The 23,942-nt window shown below is 45.5% G+C and overlaps 2 long non-coding RNA genes across 4 annotated transcripts in view, besides 2 other annotated features; one reads left to right on the top strand and one right to left on the bottom strand.

Moving 5' to 3' along the window:
- LOC105374894 (uncharacterized) overlaps window positions 1–23,942 on the top strand; it is a 154,998-nt gene that overhangs the window by 95,101 nt on the left and 35,955 nt on the right. Inside the window, exon 3 of one of the 3 annotated variants that reach the window (XR_001743940.2) lies at window positions 21,083–21,367. The exons of the other annotated variants lie outside the window; for them this stretch is intronic. This is a non-coding gene — a long non-coding RNA (uncharacterized LOC105374894). Of the gene's footprint in view, window positions 1–21,082; window positions 21,368–23,942 lie in introns of those variants that run through there. 3 annotated transcript variants of the gene reach the window in all.
- Window positions 344–1,543: an enhancer, noted in NCBI's record as "P300/CBP strongly-dependent group 1 enhancer chr6:4487436-4488635 (GRCh37/hg19 assembly coordinates)". NCBI's record gives its function as "activates an origin of replication core promoter dependent on BRD2, BRD4, P300/CBP, MED14 and CDK7 cofactors, with strong dependence on P300/CBP, by STARR-seq in HCT116 cells {active_cell/tissue: HCT116}" and the evidence as "EXISTENCE:reporter gene assay evidence [ECO:0000049][PMID:35650434]".
- Window positions 20,920–22,119: an enhancer, noted in NCBI's record as "BRD4-independent group 4 enhancer chr6:4466860-4468059 (GRCh37/hg19 assembly coordinates)". NCBI's record gives its function as "activates an origin of replication core promoter dependent on BRD2, P300/CBP, MED14 and CDK7 cofactors, and independent of BRD4, by STARR-seq in HCT116 cells {active_cell/tissue: HCT116}" and the evidence as "EXISTENCE:reporter gene assay evidence [ECO:0000049][PMID:35650434]".
- On the bottom strand, window positions 21,367–23,932 carry LOC124901247 (uncharacterized). The gene is made up of 3 exons (XR_007059419.1): window positions 23,845–23,932; window positions 22,141–22,411; window positions 21,367–21,938 (listed from the first exon to the last, which is right to left on the bottom strand). It is a non-coding gene; the product is annotated as an uncharacterized LOC124901247 (long non-coding RNA).

Below are 23,942 nucleotides of genomic sequence, written 5' to 3'. Positions count from 1 at the left end.
AGCCAGTCAGGTCTCAGCTTAGATTGTGCAGTCCAACTCCAGCCAATGGGGAAAGGACACAGCTACAGAAGCTGCTGCATTAGGGATAAAAACTCCTGCCCCACCCTACTCAGTGTGCTCTTGTGATCATGTCTGGCGCCAGCTGCACCCTTCTGCAGAAGTAAATTTGCCTTGCTGAGAAAAAAATTTCTGTTTGAGTGCTGTTTCTTTTGCGGCACTGAAAACTTGTTTCAAACGCTGGCCTACTCTGAGGCTCCTGATGGTGGGTTGTGAGGGAAATTGAGAGAGGGCTGGGGTGACCAAGGGCAGCATTCCATGTGGGGCCATGCTCTCCTCCCCTGAACCCTTGCCCTCCTTTCAGAGCCCCCATCTTGGTTGTTGCTGCCATACCCTAATCACAGAAAGGACTCATGCGAAGGAGGGAATGGAGACTCTAGAAGACATCCAAGGGCTGTCCTCTGACCAGTATCCCAGTGATGTGAGGTCTGACTTCCCAAATCTTATGAAGACTTTGCTTAAGACTGTTTTTAAAAAATCCTTATAGAAAATGGAAGAAACAAGGAAAATGGAGGAAATGAGGGGAAAACTCTAATCCAATAGTGGTAATATTACCTTCTATTTGTGAAATGCATTAGAGGCTACTGTTAGAAATAAATTTTCAGTGCTGCAAAAGAAATAGCACTCAAACATAAATTTAATTTCCTCAGCAAGGCAAATTTTACTTCTGTGGAAGGGTGTAACTCATGGATGGGGCAATGGTGAGAGCACACCTGAACAAAGGAGGGGAGGGGGTTTTTATTCCTGATGCAGGTAGCCTCTACTGCTGTGTTGTTCCCCTATTGGCTAGGGTTGGACTTCACAGTCTAAGCTAATTCCGATTGGCTATTTTAAAGAGAGCAGGGGTATGAGTTGGAGTGGCAGGGTGAGTAGTTTGGCACAACAGGTGACTCAGGGTGACTCAGGATGACTCAGGTCAGAGCAGGTGACCAGAGGTGACTCAGGACAGAGCAGGTGACCAGGGGTGACTCAAGACAGAGCAGGTGATAGGGGCTGTGGTGGGGGGAGGGGTTGTTTACTGAAACTAGGGGCAAAGAGATAAAGAGAACAAGGAAGTTAAACTTTAAAATGAAGAACAAAGGACAGGGGAGCTGAACATACGGATACATTGGTTCCTTGGAGAGGATCTCAGAACTCATTGTACTTAACAATTTATAGGCTAAAACCTTTGAAGAGGAATTTATTATATCCTACATTACAAAGCAGTTAATACCAATGGTCCTTATTGGGCCTGTCTGGTGGATGGAGTAGGTATTATTTCCATTTCACAGATGAGGACGGTGAAGGTGGGCTTCTTGCCCAAAGCCATTCAAAGAGTAAAATGTGGAGACAGGACATAAATTCTGGTCCTGGAGCTGCACAATGTTCATGCTCTCCATTTTTTCCTGGAGCCTCTTCCTTGATGAAAACACTGAAATTCTTCTTCCACCACTTGGTGGAGGTGGGCTGGGTTCCCCACAGGTGTGTGGCACCAGGAACCCACCCTCTGTCCTCTCTGCTCCTTGGCTTTCCCCTCCTCCCCTTGAAGGACTGTGCTGTGATTTTGGCAGGTTGAAGGCAATAACACCCACTTTGGCAGCCCACAAGGCCTCTCTGCTGCAAAGCCAAATAGAAAGTCAAAGGCGGCTGTGTTTCTACCACCTCCAGGGTGCCTCCATTTAAAATTAAAGCTCAGCATGTTGTCTTTTAAAAATTCACAATTTATTATAAACGAAGAAGAAAAGCTCTTGTCGTAGCGATTAAGTTTTCAGAAGGATCACCTTTTAGCCAGGCTGTAAAACTGTGGCCACTGGAAGGCTGGAGTATTTAAAGAATGTGAGCTGAAGTTGTTTTTCTTGAGTCCTTTTTTTCATTTGCACAGTGCTAAGACATTTGTCATGAGAGGGACATTTCAGAGCTCTCAGGTCAAGTGCAATAAACTGGTAAACAACAGCCTGCCATTGAAGTGCAGATTTTTCTATCTATGCTTAAGGGTTATTTGCGTTGCCTGTCACCATCCCTGCTTCTTGTTGCTCTGGGCTTTCTGCTCTTCAGCTATGGCAGAAAACATAACCGGGTTGGGGTTTGGAAACTGGTCTGGCCTTGACTCTGAATTGTTGGCTCCCAGGGCCCCGACTGCCCAGGAAGCCTCTCCCTGAGACATGTGGAGCTAATGACTTCAAATATGGATTTAGAAGCCTCCGGGAGCAGCAGTGACGTATTATTTGGTCTCTAAAACTACTTCTTGGTTAAGTGCTAGTTCCAGCCCTTCCAGGCCACATTTCCTGTAGGAAAACACAGAGAACCCCTGTCTTCTTCATGGACATGCTCCTCCCAGCACTGAGTGTCTTTGCAAATCAGCACTTTCTAAGGGTTTTGGGAAAATCTGTGAAGGCTCACGCTATGGCCAAAATAAATCAAATAGGGTAAATATTCACTCTTTGGAGTCTTCTGTCCATTAGTTTGGGATGATAATTTAGGCTGGGGTGAGTTAGAAGCAAAAGGGGCAGCCTCTAAGGTGGTCCCCATGATCCTCCCTCCTGATAGTTTCACCTGAGTGTAATCCCCACCTCTTGAGTGTGTGTTGGGGAGTCCCTGTGACTTGCTTCTAACTGATGGAATATAGCAAGGGTGATGACTGTATGACTTCATTACATAACATATATAAGACTGTCATCCTAGCAAATCACTCTGACTCTTGTGCTGGGTTTGAGGAGGCAAGCTGCCACATTGTGGAGTGCCTATGGAGAGGGCCATGTGGCAGGGAACTGAGGGCAGCCTCCAGCTGGCAGCCAGCAAGACATCGGAAGCTCTCAGTCTTACAGCTACAGTGAAAGACAGTCTTCCAACAACCCGAGTGAGCCTGGAAGCAGCTGCTTCTCTCGTTGAGCCTCCAGATGAGAACACAGCCTGACCATCACCTTGATTGCAGCTGCGAGACCCTGCGGCAGAAGACTCAGTCCATATCCAGATTTTTGATTCCCAGAAACTGGGAGACAATACATGTGTGTTGTTCAAAGCTGCTAAATTTGTGGTAATTTGTTACATAGCAATTGATAATAAATACAAGGGGCATGCAGAATACATTAATAAGGAAACCCGCATCACAGGAGTGCTGTGCAGCTACCAGATAAGGAAAGCTATGTAAGCCTCTTTGAAAGCACCATTTGCGCCTAAGAATAGGCAACTATTTTGACTTCTTAGCCATCCTTTTAAGAAGATGCGGAAGAAATGCTTCAAAAAAATTATAGGGAAAAGCAGTGGATTTGTCACTTCCTGCATGTGTGCTCTTGTAGAAAAAGCAATCCCAACAAAGGTTTAGCAAGTGTTGAGACCACAGTTGTGGGAGTAAGCTGGCCACTGATGTGCACAGGAGGCCACTGTGGCTGGGGCAGAGTGGGGCAGGAGGACAGGGAAGGAGAGCAGGTCAGGGAGATGAAAGAGGCTTGAGGGGTTAAATAGGCCCTTGCAGTCACTATGAAGATTTTGCCTTTTGCTGCATGGGCTGGGAGACTGTTCAAGGGTCTGAGGAGTGCTTGGGAGAATGATCTAACCCAACAGACTCTAGAACTACTTGTGCTCTCATCCTCATCTGTGAGTTGTTTCAGAGAAGGCAGATGCCTGGGTGGCAGAGACTTTGATTCATTTCTGGATCTCTCATGCTACCTAGCACAATGTCTGATATATTAGCTGCCCAGTAAGTGTTTGTTAAATTGAACAGACTGTACAAACCATCCATATTGCTGTGAGATTTTTGACATTCTGAAGAACTGAAGCCCCAAACAGTCTCACATTGTTTAACTGGCATTAGAGCTATTGATATAACCAATGAAAGAAAAGGTAAAGCTATGTTGATAAGTAGGACATTTCTGGGTTTTTAATCCTTCCCCAAAGTTCATGAAAAAGAAAACCAGTGGGCAGATGTTACCCCAGGTGGGTGACAGGCACCCCTTTCTCTGCCAGTGATTCTAAGGAAGATGGGATGGAATAAGACCTTTTTGCTTCTCCTGGTGTGTGTTGGGGGGGGTGTCCCCTCCTGCAGGGACCTCGTGTGGCTTAGCCTATAGCTCCTGCTGCTTAAACTATGGCTGGTCTATTCATCAAGTTAAGCTTTTTTTTTTTTTCAGAGAGTGTCTCGCTCTGTTGCCCCGGCTGGAGTGCACTGGCACGATCTCAGCTCACTGCAACCTCCGCCTCCTGGGTTCAAGCGATTCTCATGCCTCAGCCTCCTGAGTAGCTGGGATTATAGGTGCACACCACCATGCCTGGCTAACTTTTGTATTTTCAGTAGAGGCAGGGTTTCGCCATGTTGGCCAGGCTGGTACCGAACTCCTGACCTCAGGTGATCTGCTGCCTCAGCCTCCCAAAGTGCTGGGATTACAGAAGCGAGAATCAAGTTAAACTTGAGGCTCCCACTCTGCTGTTATCATGAATGCTTTGCTTCTTCCTCAGAAGAGTGAGGATCCAACAGAAACTCGGAAAACCAATAATTCTGTTGAATGGTATGAGCAGTTGGTTAGCTGAGATATGTGTGATGGTGAATTTTATGGGTCACCTTGGCCAGACCATGGTATCCAGATATCTGATCAAACTACAGTCTCCATGTTGCTGTGAAGGTATTCATTGGATCTGAATAAAAATCAGTAGACTTTGAGTAAAGCAGATCACCCTCCATAATGTGAGCCTAACCCAACCCGAAAACCTCAGAGAGGGAAGAACGTCTGCTTCCAGACTGTCCTGGGACGGGGCTCAAGACTGCAATGTCAACTCCTGGTGAATGTCCCAGTCGGCCAGCCCATGCTGTGGATTACACACTTGCCAGCCCCCACAATGTTGCGGGACAATTCCTTAGAATTTTCTGTCTCTTTCTTACTCTCTCTCTCTGTATACATGCGTATGTGTGTATATATATGTACATACATATATGTAAAAAGGGACCCAGTTGGGTCCCTTTTACCTTCTTGGGCCCCCTTACCTGTGCTCCCGTGGTCTAGAGGATCAGGGAGCCCCAGCCCGACACAAAGAGCTCGGCCGCAACCGCCCTCAAAATGGTAGCCCATGGGGCTTGTGTCAATCACTAAGTCGCATTGAAGTCCAAGGTGCTAGGGAGGTAACTGCCCACAAAAAACAACCACATTCTTTTTCTAAAAGCACAAGAATGGCGTTTCTCTTCATGCATCAACAGGGGTTAGCCTATTTTGCATGCTAGAAGATGATGCATCTTCTCAAATAGACGTCGCAGAGAAGCCAATGCTTATAAAGCAAAGACTCAACGCTGATGGTTTTAATTAGTGCACAGCACAAAGCTCAGAATAGACGGGGAGCCACTGCCCAAATGCCCATCCAATTAGCGGCCTGGGGAGTCATCCGCCTTCTGAATTATGACAGGACATCACGTGTGTGTGTGTGTGTGTGTGTGTGTGTGTGTGTGTCTGTGTGTGTCTGTGTGTGTCTGTGTGGTGGGGAGGGGGTGGGATGGGGAGGAGAGAGAGAAGATCACATGCTACAGTGGGGAGGGGTGGACAAGGACGGTGGGGGATGGGAGGAGCCAGTTGTTCCCGTCACTGTGACTCACTCAGAGGCTCCCTCCCTTCTGTTCCTTTCACCCCTAAACCAGCCAGGGGAAGACCTCTAGGGCAAGGGTGCAGATGTTCAGGGAAAGTGATCTGCGGGAGAAACCGGACCTTCCTCCCTCCCTCCCTCCTTCCTTCCTTCCTTCCTTCCTTCCTTCCTTCCTTCCTTCCTTCCTTCCTTCGTGCTTTCTCACTCTCAAGTCGTAGCTATTTCAAGTGAGCTTTTCAGCACGGTCCTGGGACCCCAGCAGCTGTTTCCTCTGCTTCACAAACTAGGTCGGCCCCATTTCCGTCCAGCCAAATGCGCTGTCCCTTGGCACTGCCAACGATGGCAGGCTGCACAGGGCAGCGGGAGCCGGAGGCCTGCGTTCTGGTCCCCGAGCCCCCTGGCCTCCCATGACCCGGAGCTCTGCGCCGACGCTCACGTGGAACATGCGCTGCGATCTCGCCGCGGGAAGGACCGCGGGCGCTTCTTACTCCTCCAACGCCTGGGATGTCTCACAGGTGCCCAGTACAGCAATGCTCTGACTACCGCCAGGTGCCCACCGTCTCCCAGGAGTCCCCGGCGCCTCCCAGCAGCATCCCCAGCCATCTGGATGCCTGGTACCTGGTCTTCTCCTGCCTCCTTGCTCCCGCCTGGGCTGCTCTGGCCTGTGTGCCGGCGGGGGAAGAGCTCCGTTCCCGACACGAACTGAACACAGTTCAAAGCATGGCTGCCTGGGGAGTTTCATTTCTTACACAAAGCTGAATTAAAAGGTTGAATTTAATAAACCATCTCTTGGTTATAACCCCTTTCCTTGAGGCTTAGACCCCTGCATCCTGGATGCCTCTGCGTGCCTGCCCTTTGGGTTGTGCACTCAGGGTCCTGGGTCTTCCCAGAGGTGGGCAGTTCCTCATGGGCAGGACGCTTAATTTCCAGGGGGGTGTCAGCTCTGGAGCTGGGTCCTCAGGGATATCTTGATTTGTGATGCTACCAGGGCTCTACAGGACCTATGTTCTGCTGAACAGGGGGAAAGGACAGCAGAGCAGATACTGACCCTTGAGGCCATCGCTTTTGCACCTAGCAGCCATGCAAGGGAGACGATCAACTGATCAGTCCTCAGACTGTAAGTTGGCCATAGGCTGTCAGCAGTAGCTCTAGCTCCTTGGCAGAAGCGTGCTGTAAGCACATGGGAGCATAAATATATTTGCATGTGCGTCATGAATGTCTAGCCTGGTCCTCCTCTAGTATTTAGGTAATGAGTAAGTGAATGAGTAGAAATGATTAGTGAATGAGGCTCTTATTTGTTTCTCGGTCTTAGCTTTCCTTGATTTCTTTAAGTACCTGTTATCTCCATCAGTTTCTCATCCAAGTGAACTACATTGCACAGTCCTTAATTTGGAAACCATTGTCTTACCTCCAAGAAGAATCCTATAATCAGAATCTTGGGATATATAAAATGAGGTTCCAGTATTCACGTATTAAGAATAAAATGTTCTCTATCCCCCTCTCCACACCATGTTCCTCTCCACATTTGAGAAGCTGAATTATGCTTGTTATACTAAGAAAATGGGAGGAGCACAGGAGTGGTTATCAGCATGAGAAACAAGGAGAGAGAAAGAATTGCTGTTTATCAGCACGTCAGTGGTGTAAGATAAGTATCCAATTTCATTCTTTTGCATGTGAATATCCAGTTTTCTCAGCACTGTTTACTGAGGAGACTATCCTTTCCTCATTGTGTGTTCTTGGCACTTCTTCCTCATATAAGACCACCCTCTCATCTGCAGGGAAATATCTTAAAATCAGCAGTACTGCTGTAGTGCATTCAGTAGCTCACTCTTGCATAGACACGCAGAGGTGTGAGTGGGGAGAGCACAAGGCTAAAACCATTGAGGAGGCAAAGAGCATGACTGGATTCACTGACACTGTGAGTGTGCATGCCCACGTTGGTGTGCACTGTGTGTCTCTAGGACTTGCTTGTTGACATCCAACCTGCCTGCTGCTTCTCTGTGAGATAGGTTAGGCTGCCTGATCATCAACTGCCGCAGATAAAGAGGTACTTGAATAAATTTCATGCAAATTCCAGGCGTTTCTCAGCATGTTCTGGATCCATGAATTCCCAGGACTCTAAGTGAAGCAGAGACAGTGTGGCGGTGAGGCACTGACCTGAGCGAACAGAGGGCAGGGCTGGAGAAAACACATGGGCTGGGAAAAGCTTCACTTAAGGCAAACTCGGTGTGTGCAAAGGAGCACCTCTCCTTGCACTGACTGCATGCAGGGCTCTCTCCGGCATGGGCTATCTCCCTTAAGACAGGGGCCTGACTCCAAGAGGAAGAGTGCCTTCCCTTCTTCCCTGTCCTTTATGGTCATCTGTAAAATGGCAATGTGCATTCCCTCCCTGATGGGAGGGGATCCAAGTCTCTGAGCACTCCTGAACTCAACGTGGGGAGACAGCTATAAAAGTCTGTTTTATTTTATGTCTCCTTATTTTTATTATGTAATCAAATTTCCTTATATCTGCCTTTATCTCTCTATATTACAGGCCTAAGACAAAGCTCACATCTTTTCCTATCTCCCTTCTGTCGATCACTATTCAATCCATTCCATGTCCTACTTCCTGCAGGCCCCAGCTCTCTTGACTGTCAAGGTCCTCAACCAAGCCAGTGGTAGACACAGCCTAGGGCTGTACGAGTTATCCTCAGGCTGCAGAGCACAGAGGGAAAGGACCTGCTCAAGAGGCAGCATCTGGAAGAAGCTAAATCAAATGCTGAACACGCTGCCCTTGTAGAGGGGCTAAGTAGAGAGAGAGATTGAAGGGATGAGCTGACAAGACAGAAACCACAGAAACCAGACGAGAGAGATTTCAAAGCAAAGGCCTGCGAACGAAATCTAAGAAACTCTCCGTGTCAAGAAAATATGTCTAACAGTTGAGTATCATGAATGAGCTAGTCAGAGAAGATCATCCCTGCTGCACGCGTAGGGGATTACCCATCCAGGGAAAAAAGCACCTAACCGGGGGAAATGCAGCATGCCTGTTATGGACTGAATGTTTACATTCTCCCCAGATTCGTACTTTGAAGCCCTAATTCTTAATGTGATGGTGTTTGGAGATGAGGTGTTTGGGAGGTAATTAAGGTTAAATGAGGTTGTGAGGGTGGGGCCATAACCGGGTAGGGCTGTGCCCTTATAAGAAGATGAAGAAGTGCCAAGAACACACTGCGGCTAAAGGATGTCTCTTCAATAAATGGTGCCGAGAAAAACTGAATATTCACATGAAAAAGAATAAAATTGGACCTGTATTTTACGCCACGCATGAAAATCAACTCTAAATGAGTTAAAGACTGATATGTGAAACTATAAAAATCATAGAAGAAACCATAGGGAAAGCTCTTTGACAATGGCCTTAGCAATGATTTTTTTTGATATCACATGAAAAGAACAGGCAACAAAAGCAAAAGAAAACAAATATGACTATATCAAACTAAAAAAACCTTATGAACATCAAAGGAGACCATCCACAAAATGAAAATGCATCCTGCGGACCGGGAGAAAATATTTGTGAACCCTATATCCAATAAGGGGTTAATATCCAAAATATGTAAGGAACTCATACACCTCAATAGCAAAAAAAACAAAAAACAAAAAACAAAAATCAATTAGAAAATGGACAACGTGGCTTGGTACGGTGGCTGACGCCTGTAGTGCCAGCACTTTGGGAGGCCAAGGCAGGAGAATCACTTAAGCCTAGAAGTTGGAGAACAGCCTGGGCAACATGGCAAAACCCTGTCACTATAAAAAAAAAAAATTAGCCGGGCATGGTGGCACATGCCTGTAGTCCTCTGTGGAGCTGTCCCTTTAAGCACAGGTCAGTGATCGGTGAAAGAAACTGGTCTGAGGAGCTGCTGGTCTAGGGGCTCAGGGTGAAGCTACCGAAAAAATGGACCTCCTCTTGACTCATGCATGCCCTCCTGGACCTTTGGCCCTCTTCCTGAGCCCTGGAAGGCTTTCCCCCTATTTCCAGGATCTGTGAATCAACAGAGCTGCAGAACCAGGAATTCAGAGGGCTTCATTCGCAGCCCCCTGGCCATTTTTAGGGGCCTCTCACTGAGTGCAGTGAGTAGATGGTCAATATTCCCACTCGTTTCTCAGGGAGGTGATATTTCAGTGCTACCCACAGGTGACCAAGGTGAGGCCCAGGCTGTGTGTTGGGTGCCTGGCTGCTGATCTATGTTAGTGAGAATCATGGGCTTCCTGTCACAAGGACTGTGCTGCTGTCAATCTCTCTAACACCCAAGTCATCATTGTAAAGGAAAAAATCACGCATCGAGAAAGAGCACATAAATAGTTTGAGAAGACCATCTGTGCCATCCTGGCTGCCTAGGAGGCTTAATGCGGTGTTTATTGAAACAAACATCTGCTGGGCATAACCTTTCCTCGACAGACAAGGGGCAGGGGAGAGGGAAGGCAAAGCTTAGGAATAACTCCATTATCTCAGCTCTAATAGAGGAAAATATGTACAGGAGGAAAGGTCAACTTGTTGAAAGAAGCAGCTTTCAATATTAGTTTTCTTCTTTGCTCTTTTCCTAATATTTGACTTTTATTGTTGACTTAAAACCTTTTTTTCCCACAAGAACTTCGCAGCATACGTTTCTAAATCATAGCTAGTTAATAAAATTTCGACCTTATCAGGCATTGAAAATGCCATTTCAAAAATCTAGCTAAGTGATATGCACAGTATATGCACATATTTATTTTATTTGCCATATTCAGTGAATGATGATGTATCAGGCACTTTAGATGCATTATTTTTTTTAAGCCTCCAAATAACCACGTGAGTTGGTGCTTTTCTTATCTCTGTTTTACAGATGAGAGAACATAGGGACGGAGGAATAGAGTAACTTGTCCAAGGTAGTTGTTGGGCACTTAGATAAGAAATACAGACTGTACTCAGTGCCTTACCTGCCCTGGCTATGAAGGAGTATATGACCTACCTTATTCCTGCTGCTGCCTCCTTTTGTGTGACTTACAGGACTGGGGTCCCTGAACTGCCTATTAGAGGTGGAGTTCAATGCCTTTTCTCATTCTCTGTTTTCTACTTCCCCCTATCCCTTTTTCCTCTCCTTTCTGATTGCAACAGAAACACTTACTTATAAGCATCTACTAGTCAATCATTCCTAAAATGTCAGAAATTATTAACAGCCGAACACAATTTGGTCCCAGTCATCGTGGGTTCCCAGTTCCATGAGAGGGATGGATAGGGTAGCAGATAATGACCACAGAGTTTGATGAATGCTCTAAGAGAAGAATGCACAAGAACTACGGAAAGCTATGGGGGCACAGGGGCAGAACCCAATGGGAGGCAGCAAATAATAGTTTAAGAGATTATCTTAAAGCAGAATCAGGAAGAGTCCAAGTTTTTCAGGAAATATGGACTAAACCATGTCCCTCCAAAATTCATATGTTGAAGCCCTTACCAGTGTGATGATTTGGAGATGAGACCTTCTGGTGGTAATGAGAGCTAGATAAAGTCGTGAGGTAGGTCTTTATATTAGTGGCTTTATAAGAAGAGAAATAGTAAGAGATCTTCTCTCTCCACCATTTAGGACACAGTCAGTAAGTGGCTGTCTGCAAGTCAGGAAGAGAACCCTCACCAGAAGCTGAATTGGCTGGCACCTTGATTTTGGACTTGCCAGCCTCCAGAACTGTGAAAAACATGCCAACATGCTTGGCTAACTTTTTAAAAAAATTTTATGGAGATAAGATATTGCTATGTCACCCAGGTTGGTCTCAAACTCCTAGCCTCAAGTGCTCCTCTTGCCTTGGCCTCCTAAAGTGCTGGGATTACAGATGTGAGTCACTGTGCTTGGCCAGTTTCCATTTAAAAATCCTCCCTTTGGCTCTTTTGGAGAATGGACAGAAGCGGGCACAAGTGGATGCCCAGTCAGAACCTGGGCTCCCAAACTTGGCTGCAGATTGAAACCCCTTGGAGTGTGTAAGATAATACTGATGTCTCAGTTTCCCCTATTCCCAGGGATTCTGATTTAATTGGTCTGGGTGTGGCCTGGAATTTGTAAAAGCTTCTCATGTGATTCTAATGGGCAGCAGTTTGTGTATCATTGAATCCAGAAGGTTAAAGATGTGATCTAGTAGCAATCTGATGGTGCTGTGCACTAATGCTGTGGCCATGAGACGCTAAGTCACGCACAGATATGTGAGATACATTTTAAAGGCAGAAATAGCAGCTTTAAAGGCACTTTGGTCATGAGTGTCAGAGAAGCAGGAGGTACTAAAGATTACTCAGAAGTGAGGGCTGAGCTACAGATAGACATTTGGGGGGCATCAATATTTGGATTGGTATTTAAAGCCTAAGGAATAGAAGCAATCACATGGAAAAGAAAATTTAGAGGGAAGAAGGTGGCAGGGATGGAGCCCTGAGGGCTGGTAGTGGAGGATTTGCCTGCATAAGAGACTGAGAAAGAGAGGGCAGGAGGCAGAGTGCATCACAGAGGGAAAGCAGTGTGTGATCTCAGTGATGGAGGCAAGCCTGGGAGAGAAGTGTGAAGTGTAGAGTCAGAGGTGAGGAGAAAGGGTTAAGAGGTTGATGAAGGTTGTTGGCCTCTTTAGGTGTGAGTAGGGCCAGAAGCCAGAACAGAGTGTGATCAAGGATGCATGGAAGCTGGAAAAAGTGGAGGCAAAGTGTGTAGAAAATTATTTCAACAAGTCAGGCTATAAAAAGGAACAAGGAGATGAAGCAGTGGCTGAAGGGGGATGCGGAATTGGGGGAGGGTCTTATAGGTTGGGAGGTACCAAAGTGGTGCTGTGTACTGATGAAAATGCACCAGCAGCTGAGAGAGAGACGAGAGAGAGAATCATCCTTGTCATCAGCATGAGAATCATCACCAGGGAAGGAAAGTCCCTGTAACAGTGAAACAGCGAAAGAACTAACATAACTAGCTCCATTTTTGTTTAAGGATCCTTTACCCATCCCTGCACATAGGCTGGGGTAATTTTAGGGTACTGAGATGATATGCAAAACAGCAATCATGTAGTTTTAAAAACTAATTCTAGGATTAAAGGAGAAGTCTGCAAACAACTATGTTTGGTTAAAGATTTATTGGAGCGTTGTGACCTGACCAAAGACAAAGAAATTCCCAACTTCTTCAGACCCTTGCTGGTGCAGAGTTGTCGACAATCATCGGTTACATCTTGATACCAAGGCCCTCCTGTTCCTCCTGACCTTAACATTAAAAAAAGCCTGGAATTTGTACTGACTTGAGACAGTATTTTAGGACACTAACCCACCATCTTCTCAGTTTGCTGGTTCTCCAATAAACATGCTTTTCCTCCCAACTCTTGTCTCTCAACGTTTGGTTTTCAACCTGGATTTGGTTACATCCTTATGAAGACCTGGCCCTGAGCCATGACAGGGACTGGCCATTGCTAGGAGAAGCAATGCCCCCTTCATTTTGTCAGGAAGAAGAAATAAGAAAGGGACAGGCCGGGGGAGCTTTGTAAATTAGTTATGAAACTGCCTTTGGAAAATTATGACTGAGACAGTGAAAGAGATCTAACGTAACCGACTCCATCTTGGTTCTAAACTTTTAAGTTGTCCTTGCTCCTTCCTGGACGTATGCTGAACTAACTTTGGGAGGAACTTAGTTTATAGTTTAAAATAAAGACGATAACAGCCTTTACCCAAAACAAACCTCCTTCTTGCCTGGGGACTAGACTGCCTTTATAGGACCAAAAAATGAGCCACAAGATTATAAATTATGGTTTAGGTGTTATGTAGCTGGAGACTACAAGAGTCTGACCCTCCCTCAACTGCTCCTAAGATCAGTGCTTGAGATATTTTCCAGACCCTGCACTTGATGGATCAACTTGCACCACCCAGATTGATAAACTGGCTCATCTGATCTTGTGGCCCCCATCCAGGAACTGACTCAGCACAAGAGGACAGCCTCAACTTCCCCTGATTTCACCTCTGACCTGACCAATCAGCACTCCTGGCTTCACTGGTTTCCCCCCACCTACTAAGTTGTCCTTAAAAACTCTGATGCCTGAATGCTCTGGGAGATTAATTTGAGTAATAACAAAACTCTGGTCTCCTGCACAGCCGGCTCTGTGTGAATCACTCTTTCTCTTTGCAATTCACCTGTCTTGGGAAATAGGCTCTGTCTAGGCAGCGGGCAAGGTGAACCCATTGGGCGGTTACAGTTATGGGGAAATGAGAGTGCTAAACTGATAGATTTCATTTTCTCAAGTAAGTATAATTAAGCAGCCGGAGTCTCAAGTGAAGGGCCAGGTAGGGGTTGGGGATGAGGAGGAGAGGTGGGAGGTTTGAGAAGTTTAGAGAAGGTATGAGGTTGCCATTGCAAAGAGAAGAAGAACATACTTATTAGAGAGTGTTGTGAGTTAGGGGCAGTGTTGTGTGTCCATTGGAAGGTGACAATGATCCATTTACAGTGACTACTAAGGTGTGTCTTTCGTTTCCATTGCCAAGGCTTAGAGGCACAGTTGCAGGCACAGAGAAAGGAGATGGTGGGCTTCATCCTGGCCTGGGGATTTGCAGGTCTTTAGTGATTTCACAAGAAAAGTCTTAATAAAGAGGGAGGGAAGCGGCTGAATTGTGGGTGGAGATGTCAGCAGGAGGTGTGGGGACCTGGAGTTGGGCTGCTCCATCTCCCTTGGAAAGAACCTGGCTGACAGCCTCCAGCTACCACACCTTTGATTCCTTCCTGAACCCTTAACAAGAGCCTGCTCTCCCAGGCTGCTCCCAGCCAATGACTGTGGGTATTGAGGTAATGGTGGGGGTACTGGATTTACTTTGGATTTTTAAAATAGTATTTGTATTGATTTCCCATTGCTATGTAAAAAATAATTACTACAAAGTTACTTAAAACAACACACGCTTACTATTTCACAGTGTCCATGGGTCAGGAGTCTAGGCACACTTAACTGGGGGTCTCACAAAGCTGCAGTCCAGGGAATGGATGGGGCTGGGGTCTCATGTGAGGCTCAGGGTCCTCTTCCAAGCACAGTTGTTTGCAGAATTCAGTTCAGTGCAGCTGTAGAGCTCACAGCAGCTTGCTTCTTGAAGGCCAGCAGAAGAGTCTGTTATCTCTGTACCAGCTTCAAAAGGCCCACCAGGATAAAATCCCTTTTGATTAAAGTCAACTGATTAGAGACTTCATTACAAAATCTCTTCAACCTTGCCAGATAACATAGCCTAATCACTGGAGTGACACCAATCATGTTTAAGACCACCCAAAACTCAAGAGGAATGACACAGCCATGCTCACCGGGAGAACGGCAGGCTCGGCCGTGGTAGAATCCCGGCTCCCAAGGCATTCATAACTGGGGAAGTGAAATAAAGTACTTCTTTTTCTTTTCTGATTGCAAAAGGAACATGAATTCATAGGGAAGAATCTAGAATCTGTAGAGATGTACAAAGAAAGAAATTAAAATCCACTCATAATATCACACTCCCCCCCCCAAATATAAACACCATTATAATTCTGATTTATTTCTTTTTATATAATGGGATCATCATTTAGAATTTTTTTTAAAAAAATTTGCCATTAGATTAAATGTTCTTTGAGAAGAATATGAATATGGCTCCCAGCACTCCATTGTGTGAATATACAGCGGTTTGATTTATTTACTTTCTCTTTTACACTTCGGTTGCTTCCATTTTTAGCTACTTGCAGATAATGTTGATGAATTTACTCCAGCACATTTAAGTGCTTGTTCAGAGCTCGCTATTCACTCAAAGCTTTAGGGGCAGAGACACTTAAAGTGATAGGGTCAGATGACAATAAAAAAAAATCAATCAGAAATGAAAAGCATCCCCAACCTGAACAAGTTATGTGAAAAATCAAATTAGTTTTTATTTGAACACAATTTTTCACACCAGTATTTATCGAGGAAAGTGAGACACCCCTACAGGGCTCTGGCTTAGGGCTTCTTGAGAATGGAGGTGGCATTTGTCTCAGGTTACCCAGACTCACACTATCACGGCCTGGTGCAAGGGTTTGATTATGCCATCAACATAGTTTCACAACAGCTCCTGGAACAAACGTTTGAAATGAAAGGAAAGGGATGAGAAAAAAGTGAAGTTGCACCAGGAATGGGCAGGAAGGCAGAGTTGGAGGATGGGGGAAAGAGGGTTCATGATGGAAGAGAAAAGGAAAAATTCCCTTTGCTGGGAGATTTGGTGGCTGAGCAAACTGTCCTAGGCTGGCATAAAACCTGCCTGCAGTAAGAAGCTCAATAAAGGGATTGAAAACCCATTGATCTTTGTGGGCTTGGGTTTCGCTTTGGTGGTTGGCTTACTGCTTCTTTTCTCCATGTTAAACACTTGGCACTTTGTGAATAGTGGTGACTCCAGGCCACACCAAGGCCTGTCATTCGGTGCTGGGTTTGGTGCACCATGGCTTGATCTTGGATCCTGTCTGAGGCGTTAGTTCCTGACAGTGCTGACTGGGCCTTGTGCCTGAGCTCACTGTTTAGCTTTATTGTAGAATGGGAGCTTCTGGGAAGGCAGCACACTGTACTTTTGGAATTTTCTAGGAGTGGATGTATGTGTGTTGTAGTGTAGAACATGGATGTGCAAGACCTCGGCAAGAGCTAGAATGCGGGGCCAGATATAACTGAGTTGCATCCAAGGAATCCCTGCAGTTGAGCCACTGGGAAATGCTAGAGGAGCTGGACCTTGGCACATTGATACCTGACACTCTGGGCAGCACATCCCTGTTCTCTTTCCAGGTATGATGGGAGCCATTTCTCCCCGAGCCTTTTGCTGTGCTGTCTCTCTCCTGGGAGCAAATTGCTGCTCCCTTTTAAGTGGGTGTGGCCTTCTTGTTTCCCCTGCTGTCTCTGTCTCTCTGTCTCTCTCCCCTCCCCTAAAAAGCTCTCTCTAGAGTAGTTATGAGCTGGGCAGAGCCAATTCACTTGCTAATTCGTGCCCAAGGCATCCAGCAAAGGAAGTCTTGCTTTTTCTTTTCCCTTTTGTAGTGATGGTGAGGACCCTAAGCTGGGTAAGGCAAGTGTGAATGTGAGTTTTGGGAAGGGTGACTCACTGGTGGTCTGTCCTCTACAAATCTCCAGGAAGTAGCTTTGCTCCTAGGACTTCAACAATCCTGTGCTTCTCATCTTTCAACCCTCACAGGACCAAGCATAAGCAAAACCAGTGGTTCTCAATCAGGGATGATTTTGCCTCTCAGGGGGCGTTTGGCAATGTCTGGAGACATTTTTGATGGTCAGTTTTGATAGTTTGATGTGGGGTGGGGAATGTGTGCTCCTGGCATCTAATGGGCACAGGCCAGGGAAACTGCTGGGCATCCTACTATTATAAATAAATTTTTGATACCACCAAAGAAATAGCACTCAAACATAAATTTAATTTTCTCAGCAAGGCAATTTTTACTTCTATAGAAGGGTGTGACTTGCAGATGGAGCAGTGGCGAGAGCACACCTGAACAGGGGAAGGGAAGGGGTTCTTATTCCTGACACAGGTAGCCCCTACTGCTGTGTCATTCCCCTATTGGCTAGGGTTGGACCGCACAGTCTAAGCTAATTCCGATTGGCTATTTTAAAGAGAGCAGGGGTACGAGCTGGAGTGGTAGGGTGAGTAGTTTGGCGGGAAGGGCGGTTACGGAACAGGTGACTCAGGATGATTCAGGTCAGAGCAGGTGACCGGGGTGACTCAGGACGGAGAAGGTGACCAGGGGAACAGATGTGAACTACTAATTAGAACTGGCAGGAAACTTGTTTACTGAAACTAGAGGCAAGGGGGCGAAGAGAACCAGGAAGTTAAACTGTAAAATGGAGAACAAAGAATAAGAGAGCTGAACATACTAACCTACTGATTCTTTGAAGAGAAACCTGGAGTTCGCTCTATTTAACACAACGAAGCGCAGTGTTATAGGAGTTATTAAGAAATTATTTTAGGCAGATAGAGAGGAAAAGGGGTCCTTGGAAAGTTGTTTCTTTTAAAGCAGCTCCAGAAACATTTCTCATCTAGCAGGAAAGCCCTGCCTCTAGGAGCCAGGCTGGCAACCTTTGATATGCAAATGCCAACCATTAGAAACTGGGTCCACCCGAACATGGTGATTCCTTCCATCTTCTTCTTGCCCTTGCCCCAACATGTGTCAGGCAACATGGCCGCCCTCACATATCCCTGTGTGTAGAACGTCCTGGTGCCCTGCATTTGCATATTAAAAGGCTAGGGTGGGAGGGCCAGTTTTTTCGCAGGCTACGTGAATGACATGCCTGGTCAAACCAATCCCCTGAGCCCTACGCAAATCAGACACCGCCTTCTCCAGCCTCCTCATATAAGCAGTCCCTGTGCTGTTGCACCTGGGGTGTCCTCTGTCAGCTTTGGAGCCCCCCTCCCTCTGTCTCTGTACAGGGAAGCTTCTTCCTTCTTTCTTCTTCCTTCTTTCTTGCCTATTAAACTCTCTGCTCCTTAAAACCACTTCATGTGTGTCCATGTCATTTTATCAAAGTCGCATGAGACAAGAGTCCTGGTGTTCCTCCACTCAGCAGAGCCCTATCAACAGGACAGCCCCTCCCTCAACCAGTAATTATTCTGCCCAAAATGTCAATAGTGCCAAGGCTGGAAAATCCTGATATAGACCAAAGTATTACCGCTATGACCCAGAAGCCTGGGTTCTGGGTTTATAGGAGAGATACTAAAGTTTGCATGGGAGCCCTTTGCCTGAACTCTGTTTAGGGCAAGAACTATGCCCTGCTTTTCCACACTTTCCCTAAAGCGAGGTCAGTGGAAACAATTCAAATATCCCCAATCTGAGAGAAAAGAAACAAACAAATGTCCACATCTATTTGGCCCGGGGTTTAACCTTCTTGGAAACACATACTCATTTACGTAACAATGAGGTGCAGGGGAAAAAAGGCCTGGCATGGCCTCACCAAGAAAGTCGTTTGGGAAAGAGTGCTAAACTGGCAAAACCAATTTCCTCCCTATCCTTTGGATGCCTGCACCTTGCCAGTGTTCAGCAACGCCTTCTGAACGCACATGTGAGCCAGTGAGTTGGTCAAAGAGTAACTGGGTGGGAGGCCTGCCCTTTCCCGGCTAGAGTTTGAACCTATTTAACTCCTTGTATCCTCAGTTTTCTTTTATTTTTTCATTATTATTTTTTTTATTTTATTATTATTATACTTTAAGTTTAGTCCTTTGGGTATATACCCAGTAATGGGATGGCTGGGTCAAATGGTATTTCTAGTTCTAGATCCCTGAGGAATCGCCACACTGACTTCCACAATGGTTGAACTAGTTTACAGTCCCACCAACAGTGTAAAAGTGTTCCTATTCCTCCACATCCTCTCCAGCACCTGTTGTTTCCTGACTTTTTAATGATTGCCATTCTAACTGGTGTGAGATGGTATCTCATTGTGGTTTTGATTTGCATTTCTCTGATGGCCAGTGATGGTGAGCATTTTTTCCATGTGTTTTTTGGCTGCATAAATGTCTTCTTTTGAGAAGTGTCTGTTCATGTCCTTCGCCCACTTTTTGATGGGGTTGTTTGTTTTTTTCTTGTAAATTTGTTTGAGTTCATTGTAGATTCTGGATATTAGCCCTTTGTCAGATGAGTAGGTTGCGAAAATTTTCTCCCATTTTGTAGGTTGCCTGTTCACTCTGATGGTAGTTTCTTTTGCTGTGCAGAAGCTCCTTAGTTTAATTAGATCCCATTTGTCAATTTTGGCTTTTGTCTGTAACAAGAGGACGGTGACATCTGCATGGGATAATTCAAAGGATTGTTTGTTGGTATTATTTTGAGGGGGCATATTTTAACACCCAACTTTATATGAGCAAGTAACAAAGTTTGAAATGTGCTTTTGAAAGCTGGTATATGTGAGGATACGTTTTGGAAGAGAGGTGCAGAGGAACAGTACACTTGGGGTACTGAGGATGCTCTGAGGCCTGGGTACTCAAATTGTGATCTGTGAATAGACCAGCTGCATGGCAACCCCTGAGAGCAAGTCAGAAATGCAGAATATCGGCCTCACCTCGAGCCCACTGAGTCAGAATCTGCATTCTAACATGATTCCCGTGGGATTCCTGTGGAGGTCTAAAGTCTGAGAAGATACCATATCTACATCCTCTGAGCTTATTTACACTTTGTTATTCAGACAGATGGCGTCCCTTTGGGTAGAGTGTGCTAAATTAGTTTTATGGACTGATGCTTTGGGTACCATTTTTTCTTCATTACAGACAGTGCCTCCCAGATCAGTTGTGAGGGAGAGTGTCTCGAATTACCAAGTCATAAATTTAATATCGGACACCATCTTCCCTTATACCCGGAACCTACAACAAATATCTTCTAGTGTTTCCAAACACAGTAGCACTTTAATGTGATATCTGGGGTTTAAAGAACCCTAGGTCAGAAGATGGGCTTTATGAATCCCCTGAAACTGTCATGTAAAATCGTGTGTGTGTTCCATTACCAGAGGAAAGAATCTATTGCTATCACCACATGCCTAAAGTGGCCTTTATTCCAAATATTGAGAACCATTGACATGAGTTCATTCGCTTGTCAAATATTCATTGAGTGCCTCCTACGTGCCAGCACTGTGTTACTACAGATGAAGAGGAGAGCTATAAGGTGGAGAATCATTGATGGTGAATCACTGATTAAAACTTAAAAAAAAACACAACAAAACTAGGAGAGAATCTGAAGAGGGAAATAAAAAATGAATCAAGACACACTGAAGAAAACAATTGAAAAATGTAAAAAGCCTAAAAATTTTTTTTCTTTCATATTGCTGGACACTTTTATTTGCACAGACACAAAATTGAAACTATACTATAGAAATGGAAACAAAGGCTGGTCACGGTGGCTCACGCCTATAATCCCAGCACTTTAGGAGGCCGAGGCGGGTGAATCACCTGAAGGTCAGGAGTTCAAGACCAGCCTGGCCAACATGGTGAAACCCTGTCTCTAGTCTCTACTTAAAATATAAAAAATTAGCCAGGCTTGGCGGCGCATGCCTGTAATCCCAGCGACTTGGGAGGCTGAGGCAGGAGAATCACTTGAATCCAGGAGGCGGAGATTGCAGTGAGCCAAGATCACACCATTGTACTCCAACCTGGGCAACAAGAGTGAAACTTCATCTCAAAAAAAAAAAAAAAAAGAAAGAAAGAAATGGAAACAAAGTAGAGGAAAAGTTATGGTGATGGATGTTTAGATAATTTTTATTAATAGGTAATAAAAATCTCTAAGCTGCTGATTCGGAAAACATAATCTAATTTGTTCCCTCAAAAAGTGTTTTTTAATTTAATTATTAGGTGGGTTAATCGTCTGTGTATCACACAACTTGTAATTTGTGTTTTTGGAGTGATATTGAATTAAAAGCTTGGCTTTCACCGAGGTAGAAATACAGTCATCTCTCCAACACCAATGAATTACTAGGAGGGCTTCCATCCTAACCTTCTTCACCTTAAATCCTTTCGCTTGTCTTCATGTTACAGGTGTGCAATTTGCTTCCTGCCCCAGCCCTGACCCTGAGATGCAGCATGGAGGGAGTAGAGGGGTGGGGTTTGCGAAGTCACTTCCAGTCATCGTGGGACCTTTATGGAAACCTGGGCTCCACTCCACAGGATGAGTCTCAACTGGAACCCTTGCCCATTGGGCTCACTGTTCCAATCTAAAGGGCAGGCTTTCCACTACTCTTTGGGACTTGTAGTTTGTGGGTTTTTTTCACATGCACATCATCTTACTTACAGTTCCCCAAGAATAAAAGCTTTCCATCTCAATTCTGGGCACTCTAAGTTTACCTGTATTTCCTTTTCACTTTAAACAAAGGTAGTCATAGGAGCCCGTCATTTCCCATGACTCAGGGAATTGAGTTCATGTTGCTTGCCTTGTGAGTGCTTACAGCCTGTATGTCATAGCATTTAGAAATGTCACTGAACCTAGGTTCGGCTGCTCGCTCCTTGAGAGCCAAACTGGAGACACAAGAGTTGGTCGGAGGAGAAGTAGGTTTATGAGGAGCTGGCAACCTGAGGAGATGGTGGGCTAGTGTCACAAAGACCATCTCGAATTTCTCAGGCTGGCCAGGGGTGTTATGCGAGGGGGAGTCTGGGGGAATTATGTACAAGAGCTGAATACATGCTGGTCAGTCTGTCTAGTCTCAATGACTGTCTTGAATAATGGGCCACCTGGTGGTCTGGCTGGCATTAGCTTGATTGCAACAGGAATACAGATGAACGGCTCAGCCTTCTTTCCAGAGTGGGATGTTCTGCAACCTGGATTCCATGCTTAGCGTTTCAGGTCAGTCCCTGCAGTTCTTTAAGCAAAGCACGTGAGTTAAGCATCATCAAAAACCTAGCATAGAAAGAAGGGGGATAAAAGGAAAAAAAAGGAAAATAATTGTTTTTCCAGATAAGGTGGTAGTTTCTGTTACAGAAAGAGCCCAAAGTTTATAGATAGAATCCAAATGTCTCATGTTATAGGCGAGGAAACTGGTTCTGAGAAGTCAAACTTGAAAACAGCAGAACAAAAACTAGAACCGTTTTTCCCAACTTACCTTCAGGCGCTCTCTTCACATCACAAAATGTCTGGAAACATCGACATCTCCTTTCCCTGCGTCCTTTCTGGACATGGTTTGATGGCTCCTAACAGTGCCAGGCACACAGCCAGTGTTCACTTCCTTCTTGTGTAAACAATCAGACTCAGCCTCTCTCTGAACAACCACTTAATCCGAAGAAAGGAAGCCAACGTGCCCACAGGTCATTTTCTTAGCTGACTGAAGACTGGAGGATGGATCCCAGAGCAGCAAAGACGTATTCAATGTAGACCTAAGAGAAAGAGGAAAAGGGATGTCATGGCTCATTGTGCCTGAGAGACTCCATGTCCTCCCATGTGACCAGGGTTCCACTTTTCCAGATAGCACCTTGCTGAAAGATTTCTCCAGTGCCAGGAAAACTGTGCACTGCTCAAGTTTTCCCACCTTAACAAAAAGGTCATCTCATAAAGAATCTATTTGGTCACTAAGGGCCACACAGCAGGTTATTTCCTAATATTCATTGTCCCTTTCTTCTATAGAAATAGAATCTTTAGACCGGGCGCAGTGGCTCATGCCTGTAATCCCAGCACTTTGGGAGGCAGAGGCAGGCGGATCACCTGAGGTCAGGAGTTCGAGACAAGCCTGGCAAACATGGCGAAATCCCGTCTCTACTAAAAATACAAAAGTTTGCTGGGCATGTTGCACCTGTAATCTCAGCTACTCAGCAGGCTGAGGCAGGAGAATTGCTGAACCTGGGAGGCAGAGGTTTTAGTGAGCCAAGATAGCACCACTGCACTCTAGCTTGGACAACAGAGCAAGACTCCGTCTCAAAAAAAAAAAAAAGAAAAAAGAAAAAGAAATAGAATCTTTAACCTGGGCACAGGCTGAAGAACAGAGAAAGATTCTGTTCTCCAGCTTCCAGTGCATTGAGTGCAGCCATGTGATTGAATTCTGGCCAGTGGGCCCTGAGGGGCTGTGTGGTATGCTGTTCACCTCCATGGGAAGGTGTGTGTGCTCCTGTCTCTTTCTTCCTTCTTGCTGGGTGGAATGCCAGTGTGACAGGGGCTATCATGGAAATGGGGATGCCACAGAGCAGCAAGGTCAAGGCTGACAGGCAAGACGATTGTCTCAGTCAGCTCGGGTTGCCATAACAAAATACCACAGATAGGATGGCTTCAACAACGGGAGCTTATTTCTCAATGGGAGCTTATTTCTGGAGGTGGGAAGTCTAAGATCAAGGTGCCAGCCAATTCGGTTCCTGGTGAGGGCTCTCCTGCTGGTTTGCAGAGGGTTGAGTTTTTGCTGTGCCCTCACAAGGCAGACAGAGATCTCTGGTGTCTCTTCTTCTTATAAGGACACATACCCTATTGCATAAAGGCCCCACCCTTATGACCTCATTCAATCTTAACCTTTAACCTCTCAAAGACCCCATCTCCAAATGTCATCACATCAGGGGTTCAACATATGAATTTTGCAGGTTTGCGGGGAGATACAAAATTCAATTCATAAGAAAGACACACATCACAAGCAAGGTCCCCATGCTTGCTTGGACTTTTGCGTGATTGAGAAGTGAATTTCTAACCTGTTACACTACATTTGGGAACTTTTTTACATCCAGAGAAACTTATAATTTAATCTGTATAGTAACTTAGGTTTCATTCTTACTGACATCACACTAATGTTTGTTCTTGCCATTGTTTTTTGGTGCCTAGCGTAAATACTCACTGAAAGAAAGCATGCAGTGGTTCTAACCAGACACAGGCATCTAGGCAACAGGTGTGAGAATTCCCACATGGCCCTCCCCACATGCGGTGTGATGCATT

This window comes from Homo sapiens, chromosome 6 (genome assembly GCF_000001405.40).
Source record: "Homo sapiens chromosome 6, GRCh38.p14 Primary Assembly".
Lineage (NCBI taxonomy): Eukaryota > Metazoa > Chordata > Mammalia > Primates > Hominidae > Homo > Homo sapiens.
Note: the sequence above shows the minus strand (reverse complement) of the source record. Positions and strands in the feature narration are given on the sequence as shown.